This window comes from Homo sapiens, chromosome 8 (assembly GCF_000001405.40).
Source record: "Homo sapiens chromosome 8, GRCh38.p14 Primary Assembly".
In the NCBI taxonomy this organism is placed as follows: domain Eukaryota; kingdom Metazoa; phylum Chordata; class Mammalia; order Primates; family Hominidae; genus Homo; species Homo sapiens.
In genome coordinates, this window is record NC_000008.11 from 37,753,720 (window position 1) to 37,780,224 (window position 26,505).

At 43.3% G+C, this 26,505-nt stretch overlaps 2 protein-coding genes and 1 long non-coding RNA gene across 10 annotated transcripts in view, besides 6 other annotated features; 2 read left to right on the forward strand and 1 right to left on the reverse strand.

Moving 5' to 3' along the window:
• Positions 1-4,703, forward strand: part of ERLIN2 (ER lipid raft associated 2) — a 21,789-nt gene extending 17,086 nt beyond the window's left edge. For all 4 annotated transcript variants that reach the window (XM_047421307.1, NM_001362878.2, NM_007175.8 and 1 more), the window contains one exon: positions 196-4,703. In XM_047421307.1, the coding sequence (XP_047277263.1) occupies positions 196-396 (201 nt within the window). In that variant the 3' untranslated portion in view covers positions 397-4,703. The remainder of the gene's footprint in view (positions 1-195) is intronic.
• LOC124901934 (uncharacterized) lies at positions 3,942-9,545 on the reverse strand. The gene is made up of 2 exons (XR_007060889.1): positions 9,208-9,545; positions 3,942-9,094 (listed from the first exon to the last, which is right to left on the reverse strand). It is a non-coding gene; the product is annotated as an uncharacterized LOC124901934 (long non-coding RNA).
• Positions 8,475-8,554: an enhancer, noted in NCBI's record as "active region_27229". NCBI's record gives its function as "activates an Ori minimal core promoter by ATAC-STARR-seq in GM12878 lymphoblastoid cells {active_cell/tissue: GM12878}" and the evidence as "EXISTENCE:reporter gene assay evidence [ECO:0000049][PMID:35858748]".
• Positions 8,614-8,934: a silencer, noted in NCBI's record as "fragment chr8:37619851-37620171 (GRCh37/hg19 assembly coordinates)". NCBI's record gives its function as "represses an EF-1alpha promoter that drives an FKBP-Casp9 reporter gene in an ReSE screen in phorbol 12-myristate 13-acetate-treated (for megakaryocytic differentiation) K562 erythroleukemia cells {active_cell/tissue: K562(+PMA)}" and the evidence as "EXISTENCE:reporter gene assay evidence [ECO:0000049][PMID:32094911]".
• Positions 8,614-9,114: a biological region, named in NCBI's record as "Sharpr-MPRA regulatory region 13802".
• Positions 8,655-9,114: an enhancer, noted in NCBI's record as "active region_27230". NCBI's record gives its function as "activates an Ori minimal core promoter by ATAC-STARR-seq in GM12878 lymphoblastoid cells {active_cell/tissue: GM12878}" and the evidence as "EXISTENCE:reporter gene assay evidence [ECO:0000049][PMID:35858748]".
• Positions 8,692-8,986: an enhancer, noted in NCBI's record as "tiled region #13802; HepG2 Activating DNase unmatched - State 1:Tss, and K562 Activating DNase unmatched - State 1:Tss". NCBI's record gives its function as "activates a minimal TATA promoter and a strong SV40 promoter by Sharpr-MPRA in HepG2 and K562 cells {active_cell/tissue: HepG2 | K562}" and the evidence as "EXISTENCE:reporter gene assay evidence [ECO:0000049][PMID:27701403]".
• On the forward strand, positions 8,827-26,049 carry PLPBP (pyridoxal phosphate binding protein). 5 transcript variants are annotated; one of them, NM_001349346.2, is made up of 8 exons: positions 8,926-9,039; positions 11,807-11,914; positions 11,992-12,027; positions 12,561-12,636; positions 19,036-19,170; positions 21,590-21,762; positions 22,199-22,297; positions 24,254-26,049. In NM_001349346.2, the coding sequence occupies exons 1-8, from the start codon at positions 8,941-8,943 to the stop codon at positions 24,383-24,385; spliced, it is 858 nt and encodes a 285-aa protein (NP_001336275.1). In that variant the 5' UTR covers positions 8,926-8,940; the 3' UTR covers positions 24,386-26,049. The 5 variants fall into 5 exon arrangements, with proteins under 5 accessions (NP_001336278.1, NP_001336275.1, NP_009129.1 ...); NM_007198.4 differs by having other exon boundaries at positions 21,620-21,762; NM_001349347.2 differs by having other exon boundaries at positions 11,998-12,027; positions 21,620-21,762.
• Positions 9,295-9,354: an enhancer, noted in NCBI's record as "active region_27231". NCBI's record gives its function as "activates an Ori minimal core promoter by ATAC-STARR-seq in GM12878 lymphoblastoid cells {active_cell/tissue: GM12878}" and the evidence as "EXISTENCE:reporter gene assay evidence [ECO:0000049][PMID:35858748]".

The window sequence follows — 26,505 nt, forward strand, 5'->3', positions numbered from 1 at the left end:
GTGTTAAACATGGAAACTTTTAACTTTTGCACCTATGCTCCAAGATCTGAGATGACTGTCTCTTACAGAAATGTAACAATGAGACCACAAAAAGTAGGTAGGGGCATAAATATAGGAAAATTGAAGGGGCACCACTCCCCTCCTTCTCTAATATGGTTCAACATAAGTCTTCCATACTTTTTTTTTTTTTAACAGCTGAAGCTAACCCCTGAATATCTGCAGCTGATGAAGTACAAGGCCATTGCTTCCAACAGCAAGATTTACTTTGGCAAAGACATTCCTAACATGTTCATGGACTCTGCGGGCAGTGTGAGCAAGCAGTTTGAGGGGCTAGCTGACAAGCTAAGCTTTGGCTTAGAAGATGAACCCTTGGAGACGGCCACTAAGGAGAATTGAAAAAAACTTGATATGACTGCAAATGATACTTAAGCAGATCTTTATTTTTTAAGATGAATCAGAATGTTCCTCCCTCCCCGACTACCTTCTCTGACTGTCTTCCAGTTACTGTGGTGAAAAAGAAGAAATGAACTTAAATCCACTCCCTTTCTAGGGAAAGGAGGGTGGGGACTGATGATGGGGGGTTTTATTTCAGGTAAGCAGTTTATATGACTTCCAATAAGATTTGTAAATCATGGGCTTGACCTTTGACCTCTAGACACTAATTTTATCCTTTGAGGCTGGCTTAATTAGGGATGCTGTCATTAAGGAGAGGGAGAAATGTAGAGTGTTACCTCCAACTCATTTGATTTCCCTTACTTGGGAAAATGCAGTCCAGTGTTCTCACCTCTGCCTCCAAGGTAGGAGATGTCTGTGGGTGAGGCTCAGCAACTGAGCAAATATGTGCCTGTGAGTTTGCCAGTAGAGCTGTGAAGAAACAGCTGCAGAGAACATTTGACCTTCCTGGCATTCTTGTCTGCATGTGTGTGAGTTATTTTAGAGGTGTGCTTTCTTGAGCCCTCATAAGGAAGTACTGGTGCTAGGTTTTGCAAGATTTTGTATACACTTTGCTCCTTGCCCTAGGGCTCAGAGTGGTGGTTTCTGACTACATTTCTAGAGTCAGAGCTTGATCACCACAACTCAATTATTTCGGCATCTTTTCACCTATGCTGTGATTTGTTTTTTTTTTTTCTTCTCAAAAATTCTGTTCATTGGTTCCACTCAGCATCAAGAAGACAGGGACAAACAACTCAAGTGTCTTAACAGCTGCTGGAGTGGGATCCTTGTTATCTCTTAGCCACTGCAGGACCTGCCTGACAGGTTATGTGTGCACCTCGAGATGAAGTGTCTTTCTATTATTGTAGAGATTCTGTAGTGAAGAGGTCTGACACCATGTGTGGAGGAGGAGGAACGATCAGTCAAGAGATGTCCTGGTCTTAATGCCTGTGGCTTGTGCTGGGAGTGGGTCTGACTTAGTGATAAAAGGACTCTATTCACTAAGTAGCCTGTGTTTTTAAATCCAGGGCTGCAGGCAGCAACGCAAGTCAGGCTGAACATTCAGTCTCCAGAGACAGCTGTGTGGAGCAAATCAGAGTTCATGCCCAAGTCCCCAGGTTGGAATGGCTGTGCCAAAATCCATTCAAAGGGTTTTCTTTTTCATTACTAGGTCAGAACATTTTGAGTCACCTTGGGAGATTCAGGATGGGGAGAGCAAATTTGAACAAAAGGTTTTTCTTATATCCTGAGATTGAGGGGTAGGGGGTGTCCAACCTGTATAGCCCATGGGTTGTGTCTAGAATTAAGTGGAGGGCAGCTATCTGGAGTTAACTTGCAAGCATATTGGTGCCCTCCATGACCACCTCTGGCTTAGGACTTGGCCCTGTTATGAGCTGACCCCCACCCCCCACCCCCCACCCCCCCCCCCCGCCAACTCCTATACCCATCTTCCCTAGGTGAATCTGTGAATGGTCCTTTCTGGCAGCAATCCCTGCCTTCTTTTTGGGCCCATGCCCAGACTTCTGGTTTAAGGAATGGTCCCAGAGCTTGGGCCAGCTTGCTCAGAAGTTTTGGGAGCATTGAGCCTGCCTAGAAAGATACAGTGTTAGCTCCCCTTACTTCAAAGTTGCCCTTCTCTGTTCTGACTCCTGGGACTTCTGGTCCTGGGCACACTTTTTGCAGGCAACAAAATGTGCCTGGGAGTGATGGATTTTAATGTGCTCCAGAGTCCTTTCAGAAGGTGGTCATTTCCCTTGGCCGGGCGCGGTGGCTCACACCTGTAATCCCAGCACTTTGGGAGGCCAAGGCAGGCGGATCACCTGAGGTTAGGAGTTCGAGACCACCCTGGCCAACATGCGAAACCCCATCTCTACGAAAAATAGAAATATTAGCCGGGCATGGTGTCAGGCACCTGTAATCCCAGCTACTTGGGAGGCTGAGGCAGGAGAATTGCTTGAACTCGGGAGGCAGAGGTTGCAGTGAGCCAAGATCATGCCATCCCACTCTAGCTTGGGCAATAGAGCAAGGCTCCGTCTCAAGAAAAGAAGGTCATTTCCCAAGACTAGCATAGGGAGTATCCATTTAAAATACATTCATCTTCCTCCCATTTCCGTGCTATTAATCACTTGTTAGAGCAACATGACATGCCCAGCATCCCACTTCCCGAAAATGTCTACTCCTTCTACTCTGAGCTCTTGTTGCCTAGACCTCAGAAAACACCAATTCACCACAGTAGAACCGGGAGCAGGGATAGCTCAGCTTCTCTGAATAGCACACTTTGCTCAGGTCTTAACTTGAGGGCCTCTCCGGTACTAACATCCTGCGATAGCTTGTCCCATGAGCACAGAAGAGCCTCAGTAGAGTCAAGTCCTGCTGCAGCTGCCCCACCCCAAGTTTCTATCATTTCCTCTTTAAACAAAAAATATGTTATCCTACACATTAGTGTCAATCCAATGGTTGTCTCTTATCTGTCTAAATAGCAAAATCATGAAAATCAGCTGTTTTATTTGCATAGGACAACTAACCTGTCTGTGTAACTTTGTTTTTATTTTAACTCTTACTAGAAAATCTAATCTTAAAACATTTGAATTCTAAACATGTAAAATGTGACAGCCTGCAATTTTGTAGACAGTGAAGTAATGGCTGCTATTTATAAATGGAACATCTATCAAAATAAGTAACTGTTTATAAAATTCAGTTTTTGTAGGGTTTTCCAAGGAAAAATCACCTTGGTTGAATGTTTCTCACTCATTAAACTTTGCAGAAGTGATTCATATTCAGTACTGTTTTTAATCACTTTTTAAAATATAAGGACCGAATGCAAGGAAACCAAAGTTTATTAATAATTTTTATATAACTAAAATAAAATAGATGTGGAGGGATCTGTGATCATATAAAAAGGGAGGGTTACTGAAAGAATTTTAGCAATATATTGATTCAGGAAAAGGAGCTGTTTTATAAATGATCATTCACTGTTCCTATGGTTCTATGTATCTTTCAAACCGATACCTTTACTATTTAAAGAGCGTAAATAGTGAAAGTAAGATGGTCATACTTACTGACTTTATCTATTTAAGTTTGATGGAGATAAACTATATCTTGGCTAGTGGCTACTGTGTCTGTGAATGTAACCAGTACTTCTTTAAGCTCTATTCAGTAGGGTTCCAGCCACTGCTTTTTTGTTGTTTCTAGCCACTGTTTTTTTTTTCTTGTTTCCTTATAAAACAGGTAATAACCAATCATTTTGTGTTTGTATTTCCATTCCTTTTTATTTCTGCCTTTGTGTAGACTGATGATTAAGTAGGCAAACTACTTCTACTTTCAAAGAGCCCCAAGGGCTTAATGACCCCATTTGTAACTGAGAAATGATTCTTGTTTTAGTAATCATTCTATAAATGATACTGCTGGATTGATTGCCGTGGGTTGATAGCTGGAGGAATTGTTTTGGACAATACTAACATGTGAATTTATGTCTTAGTTTTATTTGCAGTCTTGCTAAGTAAAATGAGTCTTTGTATCTACTTTTTTATTAAAGTGAAATTTAGCAATAGTTAATATTAGGTGACATAAATAAAACATCCCAGACTAGTGAGTTAAGTACAAGATCTCTCTAAAAATAAACAGATGAAAATCTATCCCCATTATCGATACAGAATTTGTGAACGTGGCATAATTCTTGGTAGGTGCTATAGAGATTTATCATTTTAAACAGTTCACACACCACTGCAATTCTGCTCCAAAGGACAAAGATATTTTCAAGTGAACCAAAATTCATTTTGATATCAGTTCAGTGGACGAACTCCCAGTCTTTACTCTGGAAAGCTGCCCAGCTTAGGGTTGCCAGATAAAACATAAGATACCTAGTTAAATATGAATTTCAACAATGTACAATTTTTAGTCTAAGTACTATGTGTCCTAAACACTGCATGAGACATACTCATACCAAAGTATTTGTTGCTTATGTGTAATTCATATTTAACTGGGTATCCTGTATTTTTACTTGTTAAGTCCGGCAACCCTAGCCCAGGCTTTCTCAGGTTTTTTTTAACAGGGATCCCAAGCTTTTTCTATTGGTTTGAGAGCCTGCTACACAAATAATATGATCTTAACAATTGAATAGTTATGTTAAGAGTGTAGTTACTGCAGTTAGACTGCCAAAGTTCAAATCACTGCTCTACTACTTCTTAGGTGTGTGGTCTTGAATAAGTTTTTTGACCTCTCTAAGCCTCAGTTTCTTCATTAATAAAATGAGTTGCATGGCTTATATGAAATAATGCATACGAAGGGCTTTCACACTGTACCTTGCATGTATGTATTCAAAAACTTCAATCTGGAGAAACGGGCTAAAAAACATACAGCTATTAAATGGGAGCCACTAAGTAGAAAGCCAAACACGTGAAAAAAAATGGAATAAGATTACAAATGGGATAGCACATAGAAGAAGGGAATGACATTGCAATGCAGCAAACACAGTATTGAGGATACATACCTCTACAAAAATGTTGTGTAGAAAATAACCTGGTTTAAAGAAAGAAAAGAAAAGAAAAGAAGCCAGGCACGGTGGTTCACACCTGTAATCCTAGCACTTTGGGAGGCTGAGGTGGGTGGATCACCTGAGGTCGGGAGTTCAAGACCAGCCTGACCAACATAGAGAAACCCCATCTCGACTAAAAATAGAAAATTAACCGGGCATGGTGGTGCATGCCTGAAATCCCAGCTACTTGGGAGGCTAAGGCAGGAGAATCACTTGAACCTGGGAGGTAGAGGATGCAGTGAGCCAAAATCACGCCACTGCACTCCAGCCTGGGCAACAAGAGCAAAACTCTATCTCCAAAAAAAAGAAAAGAATCTGATTTGGCCCTGTTGAGAGGAACTGTCCAGTTCTGGTCTCCAATTTTAAAAATGAAAAAAATTTGAAGAAGCTAGAAAGAAAATGTTAAAACCAAAAAGAAAAAAAAAGTAATTAAGAAATAAAGCTCATAGGTTGATGCCAGAAAAGGCAGAAGGGACATTTAATGACTTCACGATTATAAAAGTTACATACTGGTAGCTAAAAAGAGGAAATTCACTTGAATAAAGGAGGATTTGTAAAGAATTTACTTAAGATCAGGCTTGCTAAATTTTCAAATGGGGAGGAGTAGTTACTTGCAAATAGAAAATAAATATTCTTCTCTGATGGTCTTCAGAAATTGTGAAGACTCTGTGCTGTTTGGGATGGTTTAAATGTCATTCTTTCTGTATGAAACCTCCCTAAGTCTTCCCTAGGTCTAGGGTTCTACTATCTCTATAGACATTTCAAAGGCCAGATGTGATGGCATGTGTGCCAAGGGCTTGCTGTCATGGGCTACTCTACCTGAATTCATTTAAACTGGGATGGGACATGGGCATTATTTCTCCGTTTCTCTTTAGAGCTAAGTAACCAGGCAACAGTAATTTTCTATTTTACTTTTTACTTTTTTATCCCCCTAAAAGACTCACAGTAGGCTCAGAAGGAAACAATTTTTAAATCCATATATGTTTTTCTCATAATTTGGATTTATTCCAGACTATGAGGGTGTTTTAAAAGCTTGATGGCATTGATGGTGAATAAGTATACTAGATTTTAGATTATTTATAAAATCTGTTTCTCTGGGCATTTGGCTTTTTAATCTTTCTCTTTTCCCCTTGGTCCTTGCAAATTATTGGAGCAATTTAAAGACAATTACTGGTGATGAAATGATTTTGGACTTGTATTTTTCAAGGATTAGGTAGTAGGGGAGGATGAAAGGTTAAATTGGATGGTTGATGTCCCAGGAAGAGGAAGAGAAGAAATTAAAAAAGCAAATAAGGAAAAAAAGGGACAAAGTGAAATAAAATTAATTCAAAAGTACAACTAAGAAGAAATTGGAATGTGAAATGACCATGGGACTGGGGGCACCATGATCTTTTTGTCTCCATTTCCATTTTCATAAGACCACAGAATGTCAGAGATGAAAAGCGAGCATATTGGAAGTAAATCGGCAGTAAAGCCTGTCTTACTCAGCCTGGTCTCTCTCAGGGTTCTTTACAGAGTAACGCCTCAGTAAATGTTCACTGAATGGATAAGGGGGTGGGAGGATGACCTTGCCTTGTAGTTCAAAGAATAGAGGTCCCTGGCTGGGCACGGTGGCCCACGACTGTAATCCCAGCACTTTGGGAGGCCGAGGCGGGTGGATCACAAGGTCAGGAGTTCGAGACCAACCTGGCTAACATAGTGAAACCCCATCTGTACTAAAAATACAAAAATTAGGCGGGCGTGGTGATGCACGCCTGTAGTCCCAGCTACTCGGGAGGCTCAGGCAGGAGAATCACTTGCACCCAGGAGGCAGAGGTTGCAGTGAGCCGAGATCGCGTCACTGCACTCCAGCTTGAGTGACAGAGCAAGACTTCGTCTCAAAAAACACAAAAAAGAATAGAGGCCCAATCTAGTAAATGAAGCTACAACTACTTGTTGTCATAGTGACGTAACACCTGGATTATACATTCCCTAGATCTGTGAGGTATTTATGGTTTTAAAATGTTTTCCAAATAGCACATTATTTGAAGTGTTTCATCTCACCCAATCCTTCCTCTACACATCCCATCACCATGATCCCCTCTGTCCTCCCCATCACTCACTGCTGGCTCGCTCCTTCCCACCTGTGTCTCTACAGCAAGCATCTATTATGCTCACACCACAAAGGGCCATTCTGGTCATTTTAAATTTTTTTATCATTTTGGTTGGAGTACAGATGTATCAAGTCTAGAGACATTTTATCTGAACACAATTACTCCTAATGTTGGCAGTCCTAGTTTGCAGATAACCCAGTTAATGTGTACCAGGGTAAATGACCAGAGACTTCCCAAAAAGAAGTCCCTTATTTTAAGGATCTGAGGTTCTGCCTAATGTGACTTTCCCAGAGCAGAAGATGTGAAATTCCATCTCTGTTCCTGGGAGTCTGGGGAAAAACTGTGAGAGGAGAGAGTAAGAATATTGCCCCTTCTTTCCGGAAAGCTCTAATAAACCCCATCACCTCAAGACAAGACCACCTGAAGAACAAACATTAGCCATTTCTCTAATATAATAGCATCCCACTTCATTAAGTTGAATTAATGTTTGAGAAACTTTCAACAGAAATTGCAGCCAAGAGTGCTTTCCTTAACAAAATTGATCTCCTTCTCCTTGCCCGTAGCACCTACTATTTCACCACCTGACTATGTAGCATTCTGTATTATTATTTGTATGGCCTGGCTCCTCATCAAGTTTATAACCATATTGCCCACAGAAGGGGACTCAAGAATCAAACTCAGGGCGTTGTGGTGCCCGTTTGTAGTCCCAGCTATTCTGTGAGGCGGAGGTGGGAGGATTGCTTGGGCCCACGAGTCCCAGATAATCTGGGCAACATAGCGAGACCCCATCTCAAAAAAAGAATCTAACTGAATGTGCTGAGCTCCTGCTAGACCATCTAAAGCTGCCTGTGGGCTGGGCGCGGTGGCTCGCACCTGTAGTCCCAGCTACTGGGGAGGCTGAGGCAGGAGAATCGCTTGAACCCGGGAGGTGGAGGTTGCAGTGAGCCCAGATCGGGCCACCGCACTCCAGCCTGGGTGACAGAGCGAGACTGTCTCAATAATAATAATAGTAATAATCATGCTGCCTGTGTCCCCTGATGAGACAGCACTGGCCGCAGGTGGCCGCTAACCTCTCGAAATAGGGATGGCCCGAATTGAGACATATGCAAGTCAACACTACACCGGGTTTCAGAAACACATACGATTTTCAAAAGAATTAAAATATCGCATTTAGTTTTTCTATTGATTGCATGTTGAAATCTTACTTTGGATATATTGGATTAAATAAAGTATATCATTAAAATTTTTAAGCTTATGTGCCTATGAGAAACTTCCAAATTACACAGTTGGATGGCGTTATATTTCTCTTGGACAGCAGTGGTCTGAAAGATGACAAAAATCACGATACGTTTGAATCACGCCATGTCTTTAGGGAAAAGAAGAAAGAAGAGTTTCCTTTCGTATCGCTTAGGGGTTCCTCGCAAGAACCATCTGACAGAGAAAAGCCCTGGCTCCCGCCCCAGTGGCTTCTAATTCTGGTCCCCGCGCCCAGAAAGCCGGGAACGGGCAAGCCTGGAAAGGCGTTTTGAAAGGAAACAGGATCCCCCGAGTATAGGATGCGTTTCTGCCTCACAAAAGTCCCTTGGGGGTGGGGGGACGGCAGCGGCTGAGGCGCAGGAAAGAGGAGAGCACACGGGGAGTGGCCCTTGGAACCAGGCGCGCAAAACCTCAGCCCCTAGGCTCCATTTCCAGGTTCGCGGGTGACCTCCCCAAGATGGCCGCCGCCTGGGGGCGGGCCTCCACGCTGCACGGGTGTTGATTGGGTGAGACGACTCAATGATGAGCAATGATTGGTTCACACGGCGCAAGCTGGGCGGAACCGGAAGATGGTGTGAGCCACGGGCTGCCGGGGGCCTGGGGCTCGGCGTCGGTCCCCGGGGGATGTGGAGAGCTGGCAGCATGTCGGCCGAGCTGGGAGTCGGGTGCGCATTGCGGGCGGTGAACGAGCGCGTGCAGCAGGCTGTGGCGCGGCGGCCGCGGGTGAGGAAGGAGGCTGCGTGGGGACGGTGGGCGGCCGCCTTGAGAAGAGGGACACCTGCGTGGGAATGGGTCGTCACGGTGACGCAGAGGGGTCTCCCAGAGAGGCGGGACTGGTCGGCCGCCTAGGGCCACCGAAAGGCTAGCGAAGGGTTTCCCCAGCCTCCTTACCTTGAGTCTGTTAGGTTTTCTGGAGATTGGCTTCGTTGGAGCAGAGGGTACCGCTACCTCGGGAAAATGACTTAGTGCCTAGGTGTCGTGGCCACTTGCGCACCGCGTCGTTTCGGGGTCGATAGCCTTGGCGGATGCGAGGGGGGCCAGGCCTGTGCCCACGGATGGTAAGGGGAGACGGGGGTACAAGAGCACCCCGCGGAGGCCAGAGACGCCCGAGATCGCGTGTGTGGCAGCGTCTCACCTGCTAAGTGCCCAAGAAATGCCAGTGCCGCCCGGAGGCCGAGGTGAGGGTGGACTGGCCGGACTTCGCTGGCATCAGAGCGGCACTTGTTTATGGGGCAGGAGGGAGAAGTCCAATCCCAAGCCGGTTAAGGGGAGCTTTCGTCTTTTGTGTATATATATATTACATCCTCTTGGACTTTGATTAGACCAAGAATCAAAATCTGCCCACCTCAGTGCAAGTTTAAGCTGAATGGTGTGGAATGAGACGGACCTTAACAGAGAGGTCACAGGTTTCTCTGATCGAGCATTTATGCTGGCTGAAGACAAGACCTGTATTATAGTCTTTCTTTGACTATTCCTTAGACGTTACCTTGAACAAGTCAGGTAACTATTCCGGCCCTCAGCTCTGAAAGCTCTGAGATCTCTTCTGATGTTAATATTCTGTGATTCTCGGTGATTCTCCAAGAAAAATCTAGGGCTTCCCCTAATAAACATCACCTTGGAGGTTCTCTCAGGGAAACTCTCAGGCAGATGGGCTGCCTGTTCGGGTAACTCTCTGGAAAGCGTCAATCATCAGCATACTCCCAGTAGTCACGACTTGGACTCAAACGAGGCTGGTTACGCATCGCTGTGGAAGGAAGGAAGAGGAGACATTTTTCTAATTGATCTGACTCCGTCACGTCCTTGAGAACACTGTGATTCTGTGAAAACTTCAGGGGATGATGGATACAAGAAGACTAAATCGTGCAAGGATAAACGAATCTCTTCTCTTACTGTTTCTATGTGGATTGGGTGGCAGCAGAACGCATAGAACCCCCGCTCTTTGTATAGTGGTCGTGAGAGGATGTCACATAGGTCTGATCCTGAATCCAGAATTTTTTGTGTCGCAGCCTTAGTTCTGCCACTGGTTCTTTTCTTTCTTTTTTTTTTTTTTTTTGTTGTGTTGTTTTGTTTTGTTTTGTTTTGTTTGAGACAGAGTCTCGTTCTGTCGCCCAGGCTGGAGTGCAGTGGCACGATCTTGGCTCACCGCAACCTCCACCTCCCGGGTTCACGCAATTCTCCTGCCTCAGCCTCCTGAGTAGCTGGGATTACAGGCACACACCACCACACCTGGCTAATTTTTTGTGTATTTTTAGTAGAGACAGGGTTTCATTATGTTGGCCAGACTGTTGTTTTTTGTTTTATTTTGAGACGGAGTCTCACTCTGTCACCCAGGCTGGAGTGCAATGGCACAGCCTCAGCTCACTGCAACCTCCACCTCCCGGATTCAAGCAATTCTCCTGCCTTAGCTTCCCAAGTAGCTCGGATTACAGATGCCCACCACCACACCTGGCTAAGTTTTAGTATTTTAATAGAGATGGGGTTTCACCTTTTGGCCAGGCTGGTCTCGAACTCGTAACTTCAGGTGATCCACCCACCTCGGCCTCCCACAGTGCAGGGATTACAGGCGTGTGGCTCACCTGGCCATGCCACTGGTTCTTAATTCACAGATTGAACAATCAATTACTTAGTTACCTAAGTGGGCCACTTTTAGAGTAAATGGGGCAGTGTTATTATGGTGTAATGATACACCAGGACTAGAATGAGTCGCCAAACTGCTAACGTTTGGGTTTCAGAAGCCAGAAGTGACCTCTCTTTTACTTAGAGTGCAGCCTTCTATTAATGAAGTGATTCTTAAGCCTCCAACATTAGTATGTCTTAGAGTCATCTGGAGAGATTGTTAAAAAGGAAATTCTCCGCTGGGCACAGTGGCTCATGCCTGTAATCCCAGCACTTTGGGAGGCCGAAGTGGGCAGATCACCTGAGGTCGGGAGTTCAAGGCCAGCCTGACCAACATGGGGAAACCCTGTCTCTACTAAAAATACAGAATTAGTCAGGCATGGTGATGCATGCCTGTAATCCCAGCTACTCAGGAGGCTGAGGCAGGAGAATTGCTTGATCACTTGAACCCAGGAGGCAGAGGTTGCGGTGAGCCGAGATGGCACCATTGCACTCCAGCCTGGGCAACAAGAGTGAAACTCTGTCTCAAAAAAAAAGGAAATTCTCACCCAGGTGATGCCGATGCAGTTGGTCAAAGACCACACTTACAGGAAATACTGCTTTAACTTGCCCGGCTCTCCTGAGAGAGACATTTCTTCTGCTGAATATTGACATCGCTAACATTGATGCATAGATTGAGATGCCATGCGCCTAAAAAACATTTGATCATGATCACCACTATTTGATATTGATCTGCCTACAGTGTTGAAAAAATGGATCTTACCTAATGCCAAGTTGAGATCAATGCCTGTCTATCCTACAGGATCTATCCTATGGGATTCATTGGGGTACTGTTCCCAAACATTCACTCATATGGCTCTTTCCCTCTTGGCAGGATCTCCCAGCCATCCAGCCCCGGCTAGTGGCGGTCAGCAAAACCAAACCTGCAGACATGGTGATCGAGGCCTATGGACATGGGCAGCGCACTTTTGGCGAGAACTACGTAAGAGCCCTTTCCTGAAGCCCTTTGGAAGCATCATGATTGCCAGGCTTCTGACTTGTTCTGTTTTGACCTTTTAGGTTCAGGAACTGCTAGAAAAAGCATCAAATCCCAAAGTAAGTAGATAGCTGAATTCTTTAATTTGTATCTAAATCTTGGCTCTTTAGTTGAAAATTAGACCCATCCTGGTGGTTGAGTTGTACAGCAGTTTTAGGGTGGTTGACTTTAGATTGGGCCAGGGATAGAAATGTCAGCTTCCTCCTTGAGCCCCAAGTAATTCTCAGCTAGATTTTTCTCTTTGTTCAGACTGTCGTTTTCTCATTGGTGGCTGTTTGGAAATGGTGGTTTCAGGAGCTTGCTGTAATCTTGGATCTTTTCAAGATTTGAAAGCTTAAATCAGTTCATCCTAGATGGGCAATATCTGAAAGATGGAGGGAATTGATGGGAACAAGGAAGGAAAACAGAACAGAAGCCTTAGATTTTTCTCTATCCTTTTACCTCATTAGGAGGCCGGGTGAAGATTGTGATAGTTTATTACATTTAAGGAACAGAGAGTGGATGTGAAAGGTGACAGGGAGTGCACGAGGCGTTTGAGCCAGCAAGGCCTCTATAAAATCTGAATTACACATGGTTACCTTTTTCCCCTCAGATTCTGTCTTTGTGTCCTGAGATCAAATGGCACTTCATTGGCCACCTACAGAAACAAAATGTCAACAAATTGATGGGTAAGATAAAATTAAATATGAAAACAAAATTGTTCTGTCATTGTATTGCTTCTACTACCCTTTGTGGAAGAGAGAGCAACTTTTAGAATAGCCCCAATTCACCATTTGTTTTTGGAATTTCTTTAGGAAAGTCTGAGTTCTTAATAAAAAGAGAAAACATCATGCCAAGAACAGAATGAATTCACCATTTTCTGGGTTATATATACTTGGAAACCTACCCAACCTCATGTTTATTATTATTTGGTGGTCTTTCAGAAAAATTATAAAGAATTGTAGCCCATAAATTTTTTTAACTAGCAAAAGAGACATTTCTGTTCTTTTTCCTTTAAATAAAAGGCTACAGTAAATAAAATACAATACAGTAAAGTAAGTATAGTAAAGTAAAATTAAGAATTATAGTAAAGTAGGCCAGGCGCGGTGGCTGACACCTATAATCCCAGCACCATGGGAGGCCGAGGCAGGCGGATCACCTGAGGTCAGGAGTTCAAGACCAGCCTGGCCAACATGGTGAAACCCCAACTCTATTAAAAATGCAAAAAAATAGCTGAGCGTGGTGGTGCATGCCTGTCAAGTCCCAGCTACACAGGAGGCTGACGCAGGAGAATCGCATGAACCCGGGAGGCAGAGGTTGCAGTGATCCAAGATCACGCCACTGCACTCCAGACTAGGTAACAGAGCAAGACTTCATCCCAAAAAAAAAAAAAAAAAAAAAAACAAGAATCATAGTAAAATAAAATTAAGAAAGACATGGAGATCTTGAGTAACTGAACTTATTTCCCTTAAGGTATAAAAATTTAAATAACCTGTATATATTTTGTAACAGCTTTATTAGGGAGGTAAGTGACTTACAATACATTGCACATATTTAAAGTATAGAATTCGACGAGTTTTGATGTATGTTTGCACCTGTGAAACCATCACAACAAACAGTGAGCATATCTATCACCCCTAAAAGTTTCCTCCTGTCCCTTGGTAATCCCTCTCTTACCTGTCCCACTTCTCTTCCTCAAGAACCACTTACCTGCTTTTGTCACTGTTAATGTACGTGAGTTTACATTTTTTAGAGTTTTATCCAAAGGGAATCATGAAGTATGTACTCTTTTTTGTCTGACTTCTTTCATTCAGTGTAGTGATTCATCATGTTCATACCTGTATCAAAGGTTCAATTCTTTTTATCATTCAGTAGTATTCCATTGTATAAGTATATTACAATTTGTTTATCCATTCACCTGTTGATGAATGTTGGGTTGCTTCTGATTTTTGACTGTTGCAAATAAGTTGCTATGAATATTTGTGTACGAGCCTTTGTATGGATATATTTCCCTTTTTCTTGGAATAAATATATAGGAATAGAATGGCTGAATCACAAGTTAAGTGTTATGTTTAACTTTTTATAACTGCAATAAAACAAACATAAAATTTACTGTCTTGATCTTTTATTTACTTTTTTTTTTTTTTTTTTTTTTTTGAGATGGAGTCTCGCTCTGTCGCCCAAGCTGGAGTGCAGTGGCGTGATCCCGGCTCACTGCAACCTCCACCGCCCGAGTTCAAGCGATTCTCCTGCCTCAGCCTTCCGAGTAGCTAGGATTACAGGCACATGCCACCACACCTGGCTAATTTTTTACGTTTTTAGTAGAGACAAGGTTTCATCATATTGGCCAGGCTGGTCTCGAACTCCTGACCTTGTGATCCACCCGCCTCAGCCTCCGAAAGTGCTAGGATTGCAGGCATGAGCCACCATGCCCGGCCTATTGATTTTCAAATGTTAAACCAACCCTGCACTCCTAGGATAAATCCTACTTGAAGGCTGGGTCTCTATTAATCTTATTATATGTCATATAAACAAAATAACTGTGTTATGGGATTTATAACTATGTAAAAGCAAAATGCATGACAACAATAACAGAAGGGGATAAACAGAAGTACACTATTGTAAAGTTCTTAAACTGTGTGAAGTAGTGTAACACACCTTGAAGGTGGACTGTTGTAAGTTAAACCCCAAAGCAACCAATAAAATAACACAATAAAGAGTTATAGCTTATAAGTCAACAAAGGAGATATATTGGACTCAAAAAATGTGAAATGGTATCTCCTTACAGTTTTGATTTTCTTTTTTTTTTTTTTTTTTTTTTTTTGAGACGGATTCTCACTCTGTTGCCCGGGCTGGAGTGCAGTGGTGCGATCTCAGCTTTCTGCAACCTCCGCTTCCCAGGTTCAAGCAATTCTTCTGCCTCAGCCTCCCGAGTAGCTGGGACTACAGGCGCCCACCACCACGCCCAGCTAATGTTTTTGTATTTTTAGTAGAGATGCGGTTTCACCATCTTGGCTAGGCTGGTCTCAAACTCCAGACCTCATGATCCGCCTGCCTTGGCCTCCCAAAGTGCTGGGATTACAGGCGTGAGCCACCACGCCCGGCGGTTTTGATTTTCATTAATAACGAATGATGTTGAGCATCTCTTCATGGGCTTATTGGCCATTTTTATGTCTTCTTTGGAAAAATGTCTAGTCAGTCCTCTGCATGTTTTTTAAATTGAGTTGTCTTTTCATTATTGAGTTGTAAATTCCAGCTAGATTAAATAATCTAACTTGAAAATAAAAGCTATAAAAGTATTAGAATAAAATGCAGGAAAATATTTTTATTTTCTTGGGCTTTTCTAAGCAAGACATAAAATCTGGAAACCATAAAAAAAACAACTAGGCCAGGCACAGTGGCTCACACCTGTAAATCTAGCACTTTGGGAGGCCAAGGCAGGTGGATCACTTGAGCCCAAGAGTTTAAGACCAGCCTGGGTAACATGGCAAAACCCTGTCTCCACTAAAAATACAAAAAATTAGCTGGGCGTAGTGGTGTGTGTCTGTGGTCCCAGCTACCTGGGAGGCTGAGGTAGGACGATCACCTGAGTCCAAAAGGTTAAGCCTGCAGTGAGCTGTGATTGTGCCACTGCACTCCAGCCTGGATGACAGAGGAGACCCTATCTAATAATAATAATAATATTAATAATAATAAATTTTAAAAGAACAACTAGCAGATTTGATCACACAAAAATTAAAGCTTTCTGCATGTCAAAGCAAAAGGGAGGCACAGAGTGGAAGAAAAATAATATTTTTGAAGAGGGAAGAGATTCATATCCAGAATACATAAAGAGCTACAAATCTTTTTGTTTATAGGGAAAAAAAATAGGCAAAAACTGGGGCAATTTATAAGGGGTAAAAATACAAAAGGCCAGTAATCAAATGAAAAATATTCATCCTCAGAGAAATACAAAATCACTAATCAGATTTGTAAAAAATCAAAAAGACTGCTAAGATCCAGTGTTTTGAGGGAGTGAGTAAATGAGTACTCCTTCGTCTTACCAGGAGATTCTAAAACCGTAGAGTCTTGGAAAAACATAAAGATTCCACCAAAAAACTATTATAACTGAAAAACAACTTCAGTAACATTGCAGGATACAAAATAAATATACAAAAATCAGTAGCATTTCTATATGCCAACAGTGAATGATCTGGAAAAGAAATCAGGAAAGTAATCCCATTTACAATAGCTACAAATGAAATACCTAAGAATAAACTTCACCAAAGAAGTGAAAGATTTCTGCAATGAAAACTGTAAAACACTGATGCAAGAATTTGAAGAGGACATGAAAAAATGGAAAGATATTCCATGCTCATGAATTGGAAAAATCAGTATTGTCAAAATGTCCTTATTGCCCAAAGCAATCTACAGATCCAGTGCAGTCCCTATCAGAATACTAGTGACATTCTTCACAGAAATAGAAAAACACAGTCCTGAAATTTATATGGAACCACAAAAGACCCATAATAGCCAAAGCCATCCTGAGCAAAAAACAAAGCTGGAGGAATCACATTACCTGACTTCAAATTATACTGTAGAGCTATAGTAACCAAAACTAGCATAAAAACAGACACATAGACCAATGGAACAGAATAGAGAACTCAGAAATAAATTTGTACATCTACAGAGAATTTATTTTTAACAGAGGTGCCAAGAACATACATTGGGAAAAGGACAATCTCTTCAATAAGTGCTGCTGGGAAAACTAGATATCCATATGCAGAAGAATAAAACTAGACTCCTATCTCTCACCATGTACAAAAATCAAATCAAAATAGATTAAAGACTTAAATCTAAATCCAAGACCTGAAACTACTAAAAGAAAACATTGGGGAAACTCTCCAAGACATTAGTCTGGACAAATTTTGTTTGTTTGTTTGTTTGTTTTGAGACAGGGTCTCACTCTGCACCCAGACTGGAATGCAGTGGCATGATCTCGGCTCACTGCAACCTCCATCTCCTGGGTTCAAGCGATTCTCCTGCCTCAGCCTCCCAAGTAGCTGGGATTACAGGCACGCCCCACCATGCTGGCTAATTTTTGTATTTTTGGTAAAGACGGGGTTTCACCATGTTGGCCAGGCTGGTCTCCAATTCCTGACCTCAGGTGATCCGCCCACCTCAGCCTCCCAAGGTGCTGGGATCGCAGGTGTGAGCCACTGCACCTAGCCATGTTAGAAATATGTAAAGGTGATGGGAGGAGGGAGCGGGGAAGGAGCCAGCAGGCATAGAAGGGGCAGGAAAACCTAACAGAACTGTTGTTTTAGTGCCATTTTCCCTTCTGGATGATCCGTTATACTCATTCAACCTCACAGCTCAATTCATTTCCATAAAGGCTTCTTGAGGCCAGATGCAGTGACTCACACCAGTAATCCCAACACTTTGGGAGGCCAAGGTGGGAGGATCACTTGAAGCCAAATACATATATGTATATTTCTTTCTTTTTTAGTCTTTCTAGTCTTGCTCTGTCACCCAGGCTGGAGTGCAGTGGCGTGATCCCGGCTCACTGCAACCTCTGCCTCCCAGATTGAAGGAATTCTCCTACCTCAGCCTCCCGAGTAGCTGGGATTACAGGCATGTGCCACCAGGCCTGGCTAATTTTTTTTGTATTTTTAATAGAGACAGGGTTTCACCATGTTGGCCAAATGGATCTCAAACTCCTGGCCTCAAGTGATTCGACCACCTCGGCCTCCCCAAGTGCTGGGATTACAGGCGTGAGCCACAATGCCTAGCCATCTCTGGCTAATTTTTTTATTTTTTGGTAGAGACAGGGTTTCACTGTGTTGGACAGGCTGGTCTTGAACTCCTGGCCTCAAGTGATCTGCCCTCCTCAGCCTCCCAAAGTGTGGGGATTACAGGTGTGAGCCACTGCACCTGACCTTGACAAAGATTGCTTGAGTAAATACTCCAAAAGCACAGGCAACCAAAGCAAAAATGGACAAATGGGATCACATCAAGTTAAAAAGCTCTTGCAGGCTGGGCACAGTGGCTCACGCCTGTAATCCCAGCACTTTGGGAGGCCAAGGCCAGCAGATCACGAGGTAAGGAGTTCAAGAACAGCCTGGCCAACATGGCAAAACCCCATCTCTACCAACAATACAAAAATTAGTGAGGTGTAGTGGTGGGTGCCTGTAATCTCAGCTACTTGGGAGGCTGAGGCAGAAGAATAGCTTGAACCCAGGAGGCAGAGGTTGCAGTGAGCCAAGATTGTGCCACTGCACTCTAGCCTGGGCGACAGAGCGAGACTCTGTCTCCAAAAGAAAACAAGCTCTTGCAGAGCAAAGGAAACAACAAAGTGAAGAGACAACTCAGAATGGGAGAAAATATTTGCAAACTGCCCATCTGAAATACTTGTACATAGCACCAAGTTCTATATCCAAGCTTTGTTTTTGTAATAAAAAATAAGAAACAATCTAATATCCATTAACGAGGAATAGTTATGTAAACTGTGATAATCTGTCCTGTGGATTGCTGCAGTTTTTTAGTAGAGATGGGGTTTCACCATGTTGGCCAGGCTGGTGTCAAACTCCTGACCTCAGGTGATCCACCCACCTGGTATTACACGTGTGAGCCACCACACCTGGCCAGTGTTAGGGTCATGGTGATGTCCTTGTTGGATAAGAATACCCTCATCCCAGAAAGTTGAAGAATTGTGGTGATATGCTAGGGAAGCATCTTGGCTTCCACTGGTCATCCTTTCTTCATTGTCATCCTGACCTGTTTCTCTCAGTTTGAACTGAGACATAGATCAAGCCTTTTACTAGGAATCTGTCCGTTACCAGCTTCTTGAAGCTTATGGATGTATATGCTGCCTGATCATGTATGTCAGCTTTTCCCTTATTTACCTTTGCTGATTAGCCAGGGATGGTCTGACATTTGAATTTGTATCTAGTAAAACTGTCACATTTGTCTTCTCAGAGGAACTGAGATTTAACTGTGTTTTTCTTTTCCTGGCATATTTTTTCCTCTAACAAGTCAGAGATTTGTTGCATGTTACTTGCTGCAATAGAGCAAATAAGGAATACTACTTTGCCTCTGTCTCATTACAGCTGTCCCCAATCTCTTCATGCTGGAAACAGTGGATTCTGTGAAGTTGGCAGACAAAGTGAACAGTTCCTGGCAGAGAAAAGGTTCTCCTGAAAGGTTAAAGGTTATGGTCCAGATTAACACCAGCGGAGAAGAGAGTAAGTAACCAGACCTGAATTGTAGATTTTTCTTCCTTTAGGATGGTTGAAGCTTAGGGAGAATGGGTGGGCCCAAGTGTCTGATGGATAAGGTTATAGAAACAAATCACAGGATCACAGGCCTCTAAGTTGGCTGTTTTATGTGTGATCTAGGTAGCATAATGGCATGCAAAGCAGTCTATGTATCATTCTTTACTACATCATGGTTCATTATATCTTAATTTTAGGGGAAGAAGAATGGATGGGGAGTTCAAGAAGGGGATTGTGACTTCGTTTTGTATTTTTGTTTTTTTTTTGAGATGGAGTCTTGCTATGTCGCCCAGGCTGGAGTGCAATGGTGCGATCTCGGCTCACTGCAACCTCCGCCTCCCGGGTTGAAGCAATTCTCCCACCTCAGCCTCCCAAGTAGCTGGGACTACAGGCGTGCACCACCACGCCTGGCTAATTTTTGTATTTGTAATAGCGATGGGGTTTCACCATATTGGCCAGACTGCTCTCGAGCTCATGACCTCTCAAGTGATCCACCCATCTCGGCCTCCCAAAGTGCTGGGATTACAGGCGTGAGCCACCACACTCAGCCTTTTTTTTTTTTTTTTTTGAGACAGAGCCTCACTCTGTCGCCAGGCTGGAGTGCAGTGGCACGATCTCAGCTCACTGCAACCTCCGCCTCCTGGGTTGAAGCGATTCTCCTGCCTCAGCCTCCCGAGTAGCTGGGATTACAGGCACGCGCTACCACGCCCAGCTAATATTTGTATTTTTAGTAGAGACGGAGTTTCGCCATATTGGTCAGGCTGGTCTTGAACTCTTGACCTCAGGTGATCCACCCACCTCAGCCTCCCAAAGTGCTGAGATTAAAGACATGAGCCACTGCACCCGGCCTGGGATTGTGTCTTTCATCTGGAAACCCCCAAAGGTCACCATCACTCCTACAAGGAGTATTTTAAATTTTTAAGACCTAAGATTATATAAATACTCTTAGATCTTAAAAAAATTACTTGATGTTGCATTGGGAGAGAATGGAAGATAATTACTGTGAGTGGGCCAGGTGCGGTGGCTTACACCTGTAATCCCAGCACTTGGGAAGGCTGAGGCAGGTGGATCACCTGAGGTCAGAAATTCGATACCAGCCTAGCCAACATGATGAAACTTCATCTCTACCATACATACAAAAATTAGCCAGGCATGATGGTGTGCACCCATAGCCCCAGCTGCTCGGGATGCTGAGGCAGGAGGATCCCTCGAACCCAGGAGGTGAATATTGCAGTGATCCGAGATCGCGCCACTGCACTCCAGCCTGGGCGACAGAGTTAGACTCCATCTCAAAAAAAAATAAATAAATAAAAAATTATGGTGAGCACCAGTCAATGAATATCTTTATGGGGCTTGGATTAACAGTGTAACATAGTGTGAATAGAAGCATGGGCTTTGAAATCAGACAGACCTTGGGTTTCAGCTACACTACTTTCCAGTATTGTAACCTTGGATAAGTTACCTAATCTCTCTGTACTTCAGTTTCCTTTTTTGGCAATGGTATCATGAGAATGCTTACTTCAGAGGGTGTGGTTAGGACTGAATATGATAATCCAGGCAACATTGTTAGCACAGAACCCTACACATGTTGTTAGCTATTCGTTAAGAATAAATGTATACAGATCAGGCATTTGATTGCAACCATCAAAGCACCAGTATTCACCAAATCTTAGTATGCAGGAACACAGTAGAGGCATCTGTTTTCTAGATAACGTCCTAGAGTCAGACTACCTGGGTTTAAATCCCAATTATCAATAGAAATCTGAAATCAACTATAGGTCAAGTCTTTATTGTATCATTTCTTGATAATTAGCTATAATATGCCCTATTTAAAGACTGAAGTAAATGTTACTAGTATCTCCGCCTAATAAATGGGGGCAAGACAATATCAATAGCTCTTATAACTGTATAACAAATAATTGCTTGCTGCAGATTTCTCTTCCAGTTGTTAATTAGAAAGTTCAGTTAAACTTTGCTAATATATAGCCAAAAATATTTAACATGTACTTTATACTAAATTTTTTGCAACTCCATTAAATTAATAAAACTATAAAAATTCTTGATTTAGAAAAGTAATTCTCAGGTTCATCTGGCATTTTGGCAATGCAAATCTTCCTGGTATCCCAAAAAAGCAAGATTTTTTCTTTTCCATGTCTCCTAGCTGTTTTCAGCTGAAATCCTGAGATGGAGGAAAGAGAATCCAACTGATAGTTCTTTTCTTGAGAAATTTAGAACCTGACCAGAAGCAGAGCAACATAGAAAACCCCAAGTATAAAGTTACTCTTTAGGACTTGAGGCTCTTTCAAGAGGTTCTCTTGTTGGGGGTCACCTCTTCTGTCGTAAGGAAGGGAGGAAAATGGAGCCTTCCTCTGGCCATTTACCCTTGCAGTATACCTGTTTTCTGTTTCTTTTCTTGAAGGTAAACATGGCCTTCCACCTTCAGAGACCATAGCCATCGTGGAGCACATAAACGCCAAGTGTCCTAACCTGGAGTTTGTGGGGCTGATGACCATAGGAAGCTTTGGGCATGATCTTAGTCAAGGACCAAATCCAGACTTCCAGGTACTGGGGGGTCGGGGAGATTGCTCGTGTGCTAAAGAAGCAGGGTGCTGGAGTGCTATTGCAGGGCTGGCTGCAGTGGGGATTGCAGAGTCATCCCAGACACTGCCTGTTGAGTGTTCTAGCCCTCTTTTGAACTCTTCTCAGAAGGAAAAGGGAAGAACAGGTTTCCAAAGCCCCACAAACCTTTTTCAACTCAACTTGAACTTGGCTAAAACATAGTCTTTAGAGAATATGAGATTTCTTCCTCTCCAGTGACTAATAGTTTTCTCGAAAGTGGGATAGTTTGCAAAAAACCCTTTCAGTAACGTCTGGCAATTTTGGCAGGCCTTGAAATCATAAGGAATACATAACCGTTGTCAGAGAAGTTCAGATTCAGACACTTTTGGGCATCGTTAGAGAAGGCAGGAGTAAAATAGGTGTCATCTCTTTCTGTCAGCTGTTATTGTCCCTCCGGGAGGAGCTGTGTAAAAAGCTGAACATCCCTGCTGACCAGGTTGAGCTGAGCATGGGCATGTCCGCGGATTTCCAGCATGCGGTGAGTGTCCTGCCAGTGCCCTGTCTGCCTCGAGGGGTGGGGGTAGGGGGTCTGAGAGGCTGACACAAGAGCAGATCTTTGCTGTAGAAGCCTTGGAAATGCCTTGGGATGGCAGTAAGGTACCCAGTGTCAGCTATTCCAGCATCTCCCATTCCCCATGCCCTTTCTTTTTTGAAAAGAGCCAGGTGCGGTGGCGCACGCCTGTAATCCCAGCACTTTGGGAGGCCGAGCCGGGCAGATCACGAGGTCAGGAGTTCGAGACCAGCCTGACCAACATGGTGAAACCCCGTCTCTCCTAAAAATACAAAAATTAGCTGGGCGTGGTGGCGCACGCCTGTAATCCCAGCTACTCAGGAGGCTGAGGCAGGAGAATCGCTTGAACCCAGGAGGCGGAGATTGCAGTGAGCCGAGGTCGCGCCACTGCACTCCAGCCTGGCTGGCAACAGAGCGAGACTCCATCTCAAAAAAAAAAAAAAAAAAAAAAAAACAAAAGAAAGAAAAGAAATGTATAGAAATTATAGCCTGACATCTGAACTTTTAAAACAAAATATAATTCCGTAAGTGTAATCTAAAGGAAATAAGAAATTAATTATAATTATAATTTCATAAATTATAAACATAATTCCATAAGTGTAGTCTAAAGGAAAATAAGAAATTAAGCTATAATTTTTGGAAAGGCATTTCATTACGTAAGTGCGTGGGCATGGCTGTATCACAGCAAATCACGATGAAGCAGCCTAAGGCTTCATGTTTGTTTGTTTTTTTTTGGAGACTGAGTCTCGCTCTATTGCCCAGGCCGGAGTGCAGTGGCGCGATCTCAGCTCACTGTAACCTCCACCTCCCAGGTTCAAGTGATTCTCCTGCTTCAGCCTCCCAAGTAGCTGGGATTACAGGCGCCTGCCACAATGCCCAGCTAATTTTTGAATTTTTAGTTAAGACAGGGTTTCACCGTATTGGCCAGGCTGGTCTCGAACTCCTGACCTCAGGTAATCCACCCACCTAGGCCTCCCAAAGTGATGGGATTACAGGCATGAGCCACTGCACCCGTCCGAGGCTTAATCTTATGTGTAGATTCACCAACAATCTTATATGTACATCAACAGCTGTAAATATCAACTGATACAGGTGTGCTAGATTGGCAACGCAAATACATGATTTTCTGAAATAGCAAATAACTTGATAAAGTTTCAAAAATCAAAATATAAACTTGCATTCCTGGAAAATTGTATTTCTTAAAACAGTGCAAAAATACATTGCATTGATAAGTAAAATGGAATTTGATCAGATAATTATAAGGATATTTTTTTCATCTACCTGACCGTGGCACATTGGAGAGGTAGGTGGGCTGTGCTGTGTGGCTGCGTCTCACACTGGACGTCTAATGTCCTTGACCCCCTCCGAGCTGAGTGCCAGCCACACTCTCCAACCACTGGAAATCCAGAGAAACCCAACTTGTTTCCTATATATGCCCTCAGAGGCAATTTTACCTCTGAGGAGAACAATCATCCTGAAGCCATCTTCAGCTGTGTTATTATTCATAGAAGGCTCTGTTTTTGTTTTTTTTTGTTTTTTTTGAGATGGAGTTTCGCTCTTGTTGCCCAGGCTGGAGTGCAATGGCGCAACCTCTGCTCACCGCAACCTCCACCTCCTGGGTTCAAGCAATTCTCCTGCTTCAGCCTCCCGAGTAGCTGGGATTACAGGCATGTGCCACTATGCCCGGCTAATTTTGTATTTTTAATAGAGACAGGGTTTCTCCATGTTGGTCAGGCTGGTCTCAAACCCCTGATCTCGTGATCTGCCCACCTCGGCCTCCCAAAATGCTGGGATTACAGGCGTGAGCCACCACGCCCCGTCCATAGAAGGCTCTTGAGAGCCAGAATGGGGGCACAGCTTCAGCACTGGCTCCATTTTATTATTTTAAACCTGGTCCTCGATACCTTCTCTTTTTTCCCACAGGTTGAAGTAGGATCTACAAATGTCCGAATAGGAAGCACGATTTTTGGAGAGCGGGATTACTCAAAGAAACCCACCCCGGACAAGTGCGCAGCAGACGTGAAGGCCCCGCTGGAGGTGGCACAGGAGCACTGAGCCAGGGAATACTGAGAGCACTAACTATGCACTAACCTAGATTTTCATTTCGATATTCCCTGTGTCCCAGCGCAGTCCTGCTCTCCTGTGACCTGTGGAGAGCACTAATGATCACGTGTGTTGATGGAAACCATCTGTGCTTAGTCTCTGACATAGGAAGCTTGCTTCAGGCAATGGCTTTGGATTGAGTTTGAGAAATTCAAACATTTCTGCAGAACAGATACCAAATCAATAGCTAGGAATCATGTTCAATATTGAATTCTGCCCAGGAGCATGAACTGATCCATGAATGCCTTTTCCAGGTTAAAATTTGGTCACTGATGCCTATAATCGTGGAAGTCAGAGGGATTCCCCTTTTTCATCTCATTTTAATAGGAAAATTCCTTATGGTTAACATCTCCCTACAAACTCCTACTACGTCGTCTAAATTGCTGCTCTGGAATAAGGTGATTTCTGCCCCCAGATTCTTCCCTAGCCGGTAGATACGTGAAGATATTCCCAACTGTGGAATGGCAGTGTAGGTAGCTTCAGGAAATGGCTCAGGTTAATTCTCAAAACACAAATTGTTGCTGGCCAGGCATGGTGACTCATGCCTGTAATCCCAGCAATTTGGGAGACAGAGGCGGAAGGATCACCTGAGCCTAGGAGTTCAAGACCAGCCTCAGCAACAGCAGGAGCCCCACCCCCCGTCTCTACAAAAAAATTTAAAAATTAACTGGGCATGGTGGCTGAGGTGGAAGAATGGAAGAATCACTTGAGCCCAGGAGTTTGAGGCTGCAGTGAGCTATGATTGCACCACTGTACTCCTGCCTTAAAAAAAAAAAAAAAATCCCAATAGTCCATGAAGGCTTTGATCTCTTGGGAAGTTCTTCATAGATGCTGTCACATTTCTTAAAGCAACCTTTTAATATGCAGATAATACCCCCCAACTTTTTTAGAGACAGCCTGTCTCTTAAAAAAAAAATTAATTTGGTAGTGAGAGCTTGTGTCACTGCCACTCTGTTTTATCCCTGAAATTAAAGGATAACATAAGGAGGACTTGGGCCTTTCTGACATCATCCTGAAGAGACAGGACTTTGCGTTTTTCCTCTGGGACCTACAGTGATGAGAATTTAATGATTATCTCCTCCACTATAATCCTCTTTAGGGTGATTTTTTAAATCAAAACCCAGTGAATCTCATTACTCCTAAGAAACGAAAGATTCCTTCAAAGCCTTTTCAGGCACATGGTTTCAACAAAGCCTGGCTTTGACATTCCTTGTCCTGAGGAGCACTTTCCAGGCATAGTTACAGCTTCCCCACTGTATTTACAAGCCAGAATTGTGCAACTCTTCTGGATCATTAATAAAGTAGCAAGATCCTCAAAAAACCCAAAAACACCATTCTCTAATAGTCATGACAAATGGCTTCAGTATGGCTTGTTTTTTATTTTCCAGATGGCTTTTTCTCTTATTTTTTGAAGCCCCAGTCTTTGATTTTACAGGTAACTTTCAAAACATCATGATGCTGCCAAATGTACTTTTGTAAACTTAAACATTATGATTCCTGTATTATTTCAGTGAGAGCTACAGTGTGATATTTCAGAGTCTATTAAATAAAAATGTGAGTTTGAATTACACCATCTGTGCCAATTACAAAGCAATTAAAAGATTTATTTTTTATGATCTGGTGTAGTGACTGAATATAACAGGTGGGGGCATTGGAACCGACGGGAAGCAGCTATGCTGGTGCCTTGGCATTGTGCCAGCCTGGCTTTGGAGGAGGGCTTCCCTGGGGTCACAGACGCAGCCAAAGCTACACCATGGGTGAGAGGGATTCTGAACTTCTAAGGGCAAGAAAAAGGACATTTCAAGAATTACAAAAATAGTTACCCCTCACTGCAAGAGACTTTTGAATTGCCTCTAGATGGCGACATTGGCTAACCTGAGGGACAAGCACTGGCTCTCCACTGTCAGTAGTTTACCTTATGAGGGACTCCTGGTTACTCAGTCTGGTGGAGGCCAGAGAGGACATGACGCTCTCAAGTGATAGTGTGACTTGCAGAGCCTCAGGGGTTCGATACCAGCTAGCCTGGGCAACACGGTGAAATCTTGTCTGTACCAAAAATACCCCGCCCAAAA

Coding starts and splice junctions, on each gene's coding strand:
- PLPBP (NM_001349346.2), top strand. CDS start 8,941: ATGTGGAGAGCTGGCAGCATGTCGGCCGAGCTGGGAGTCGGGTGCGCA. Junction 9,040..11,806: donor CTGTGGCGCGGCGGCCGCGG/GTGAGGAAGGAG, acceptor CCCTCTTGGCAG/GATCTCCCAGCCATCCAGCC. Junction 12,637..19,035: donor AAATGTCAACAAATTGATGG/GTAAGATAAAAT, acceptor GTCTCATTACAG/CTGTCCCCAATCTCTTCATG.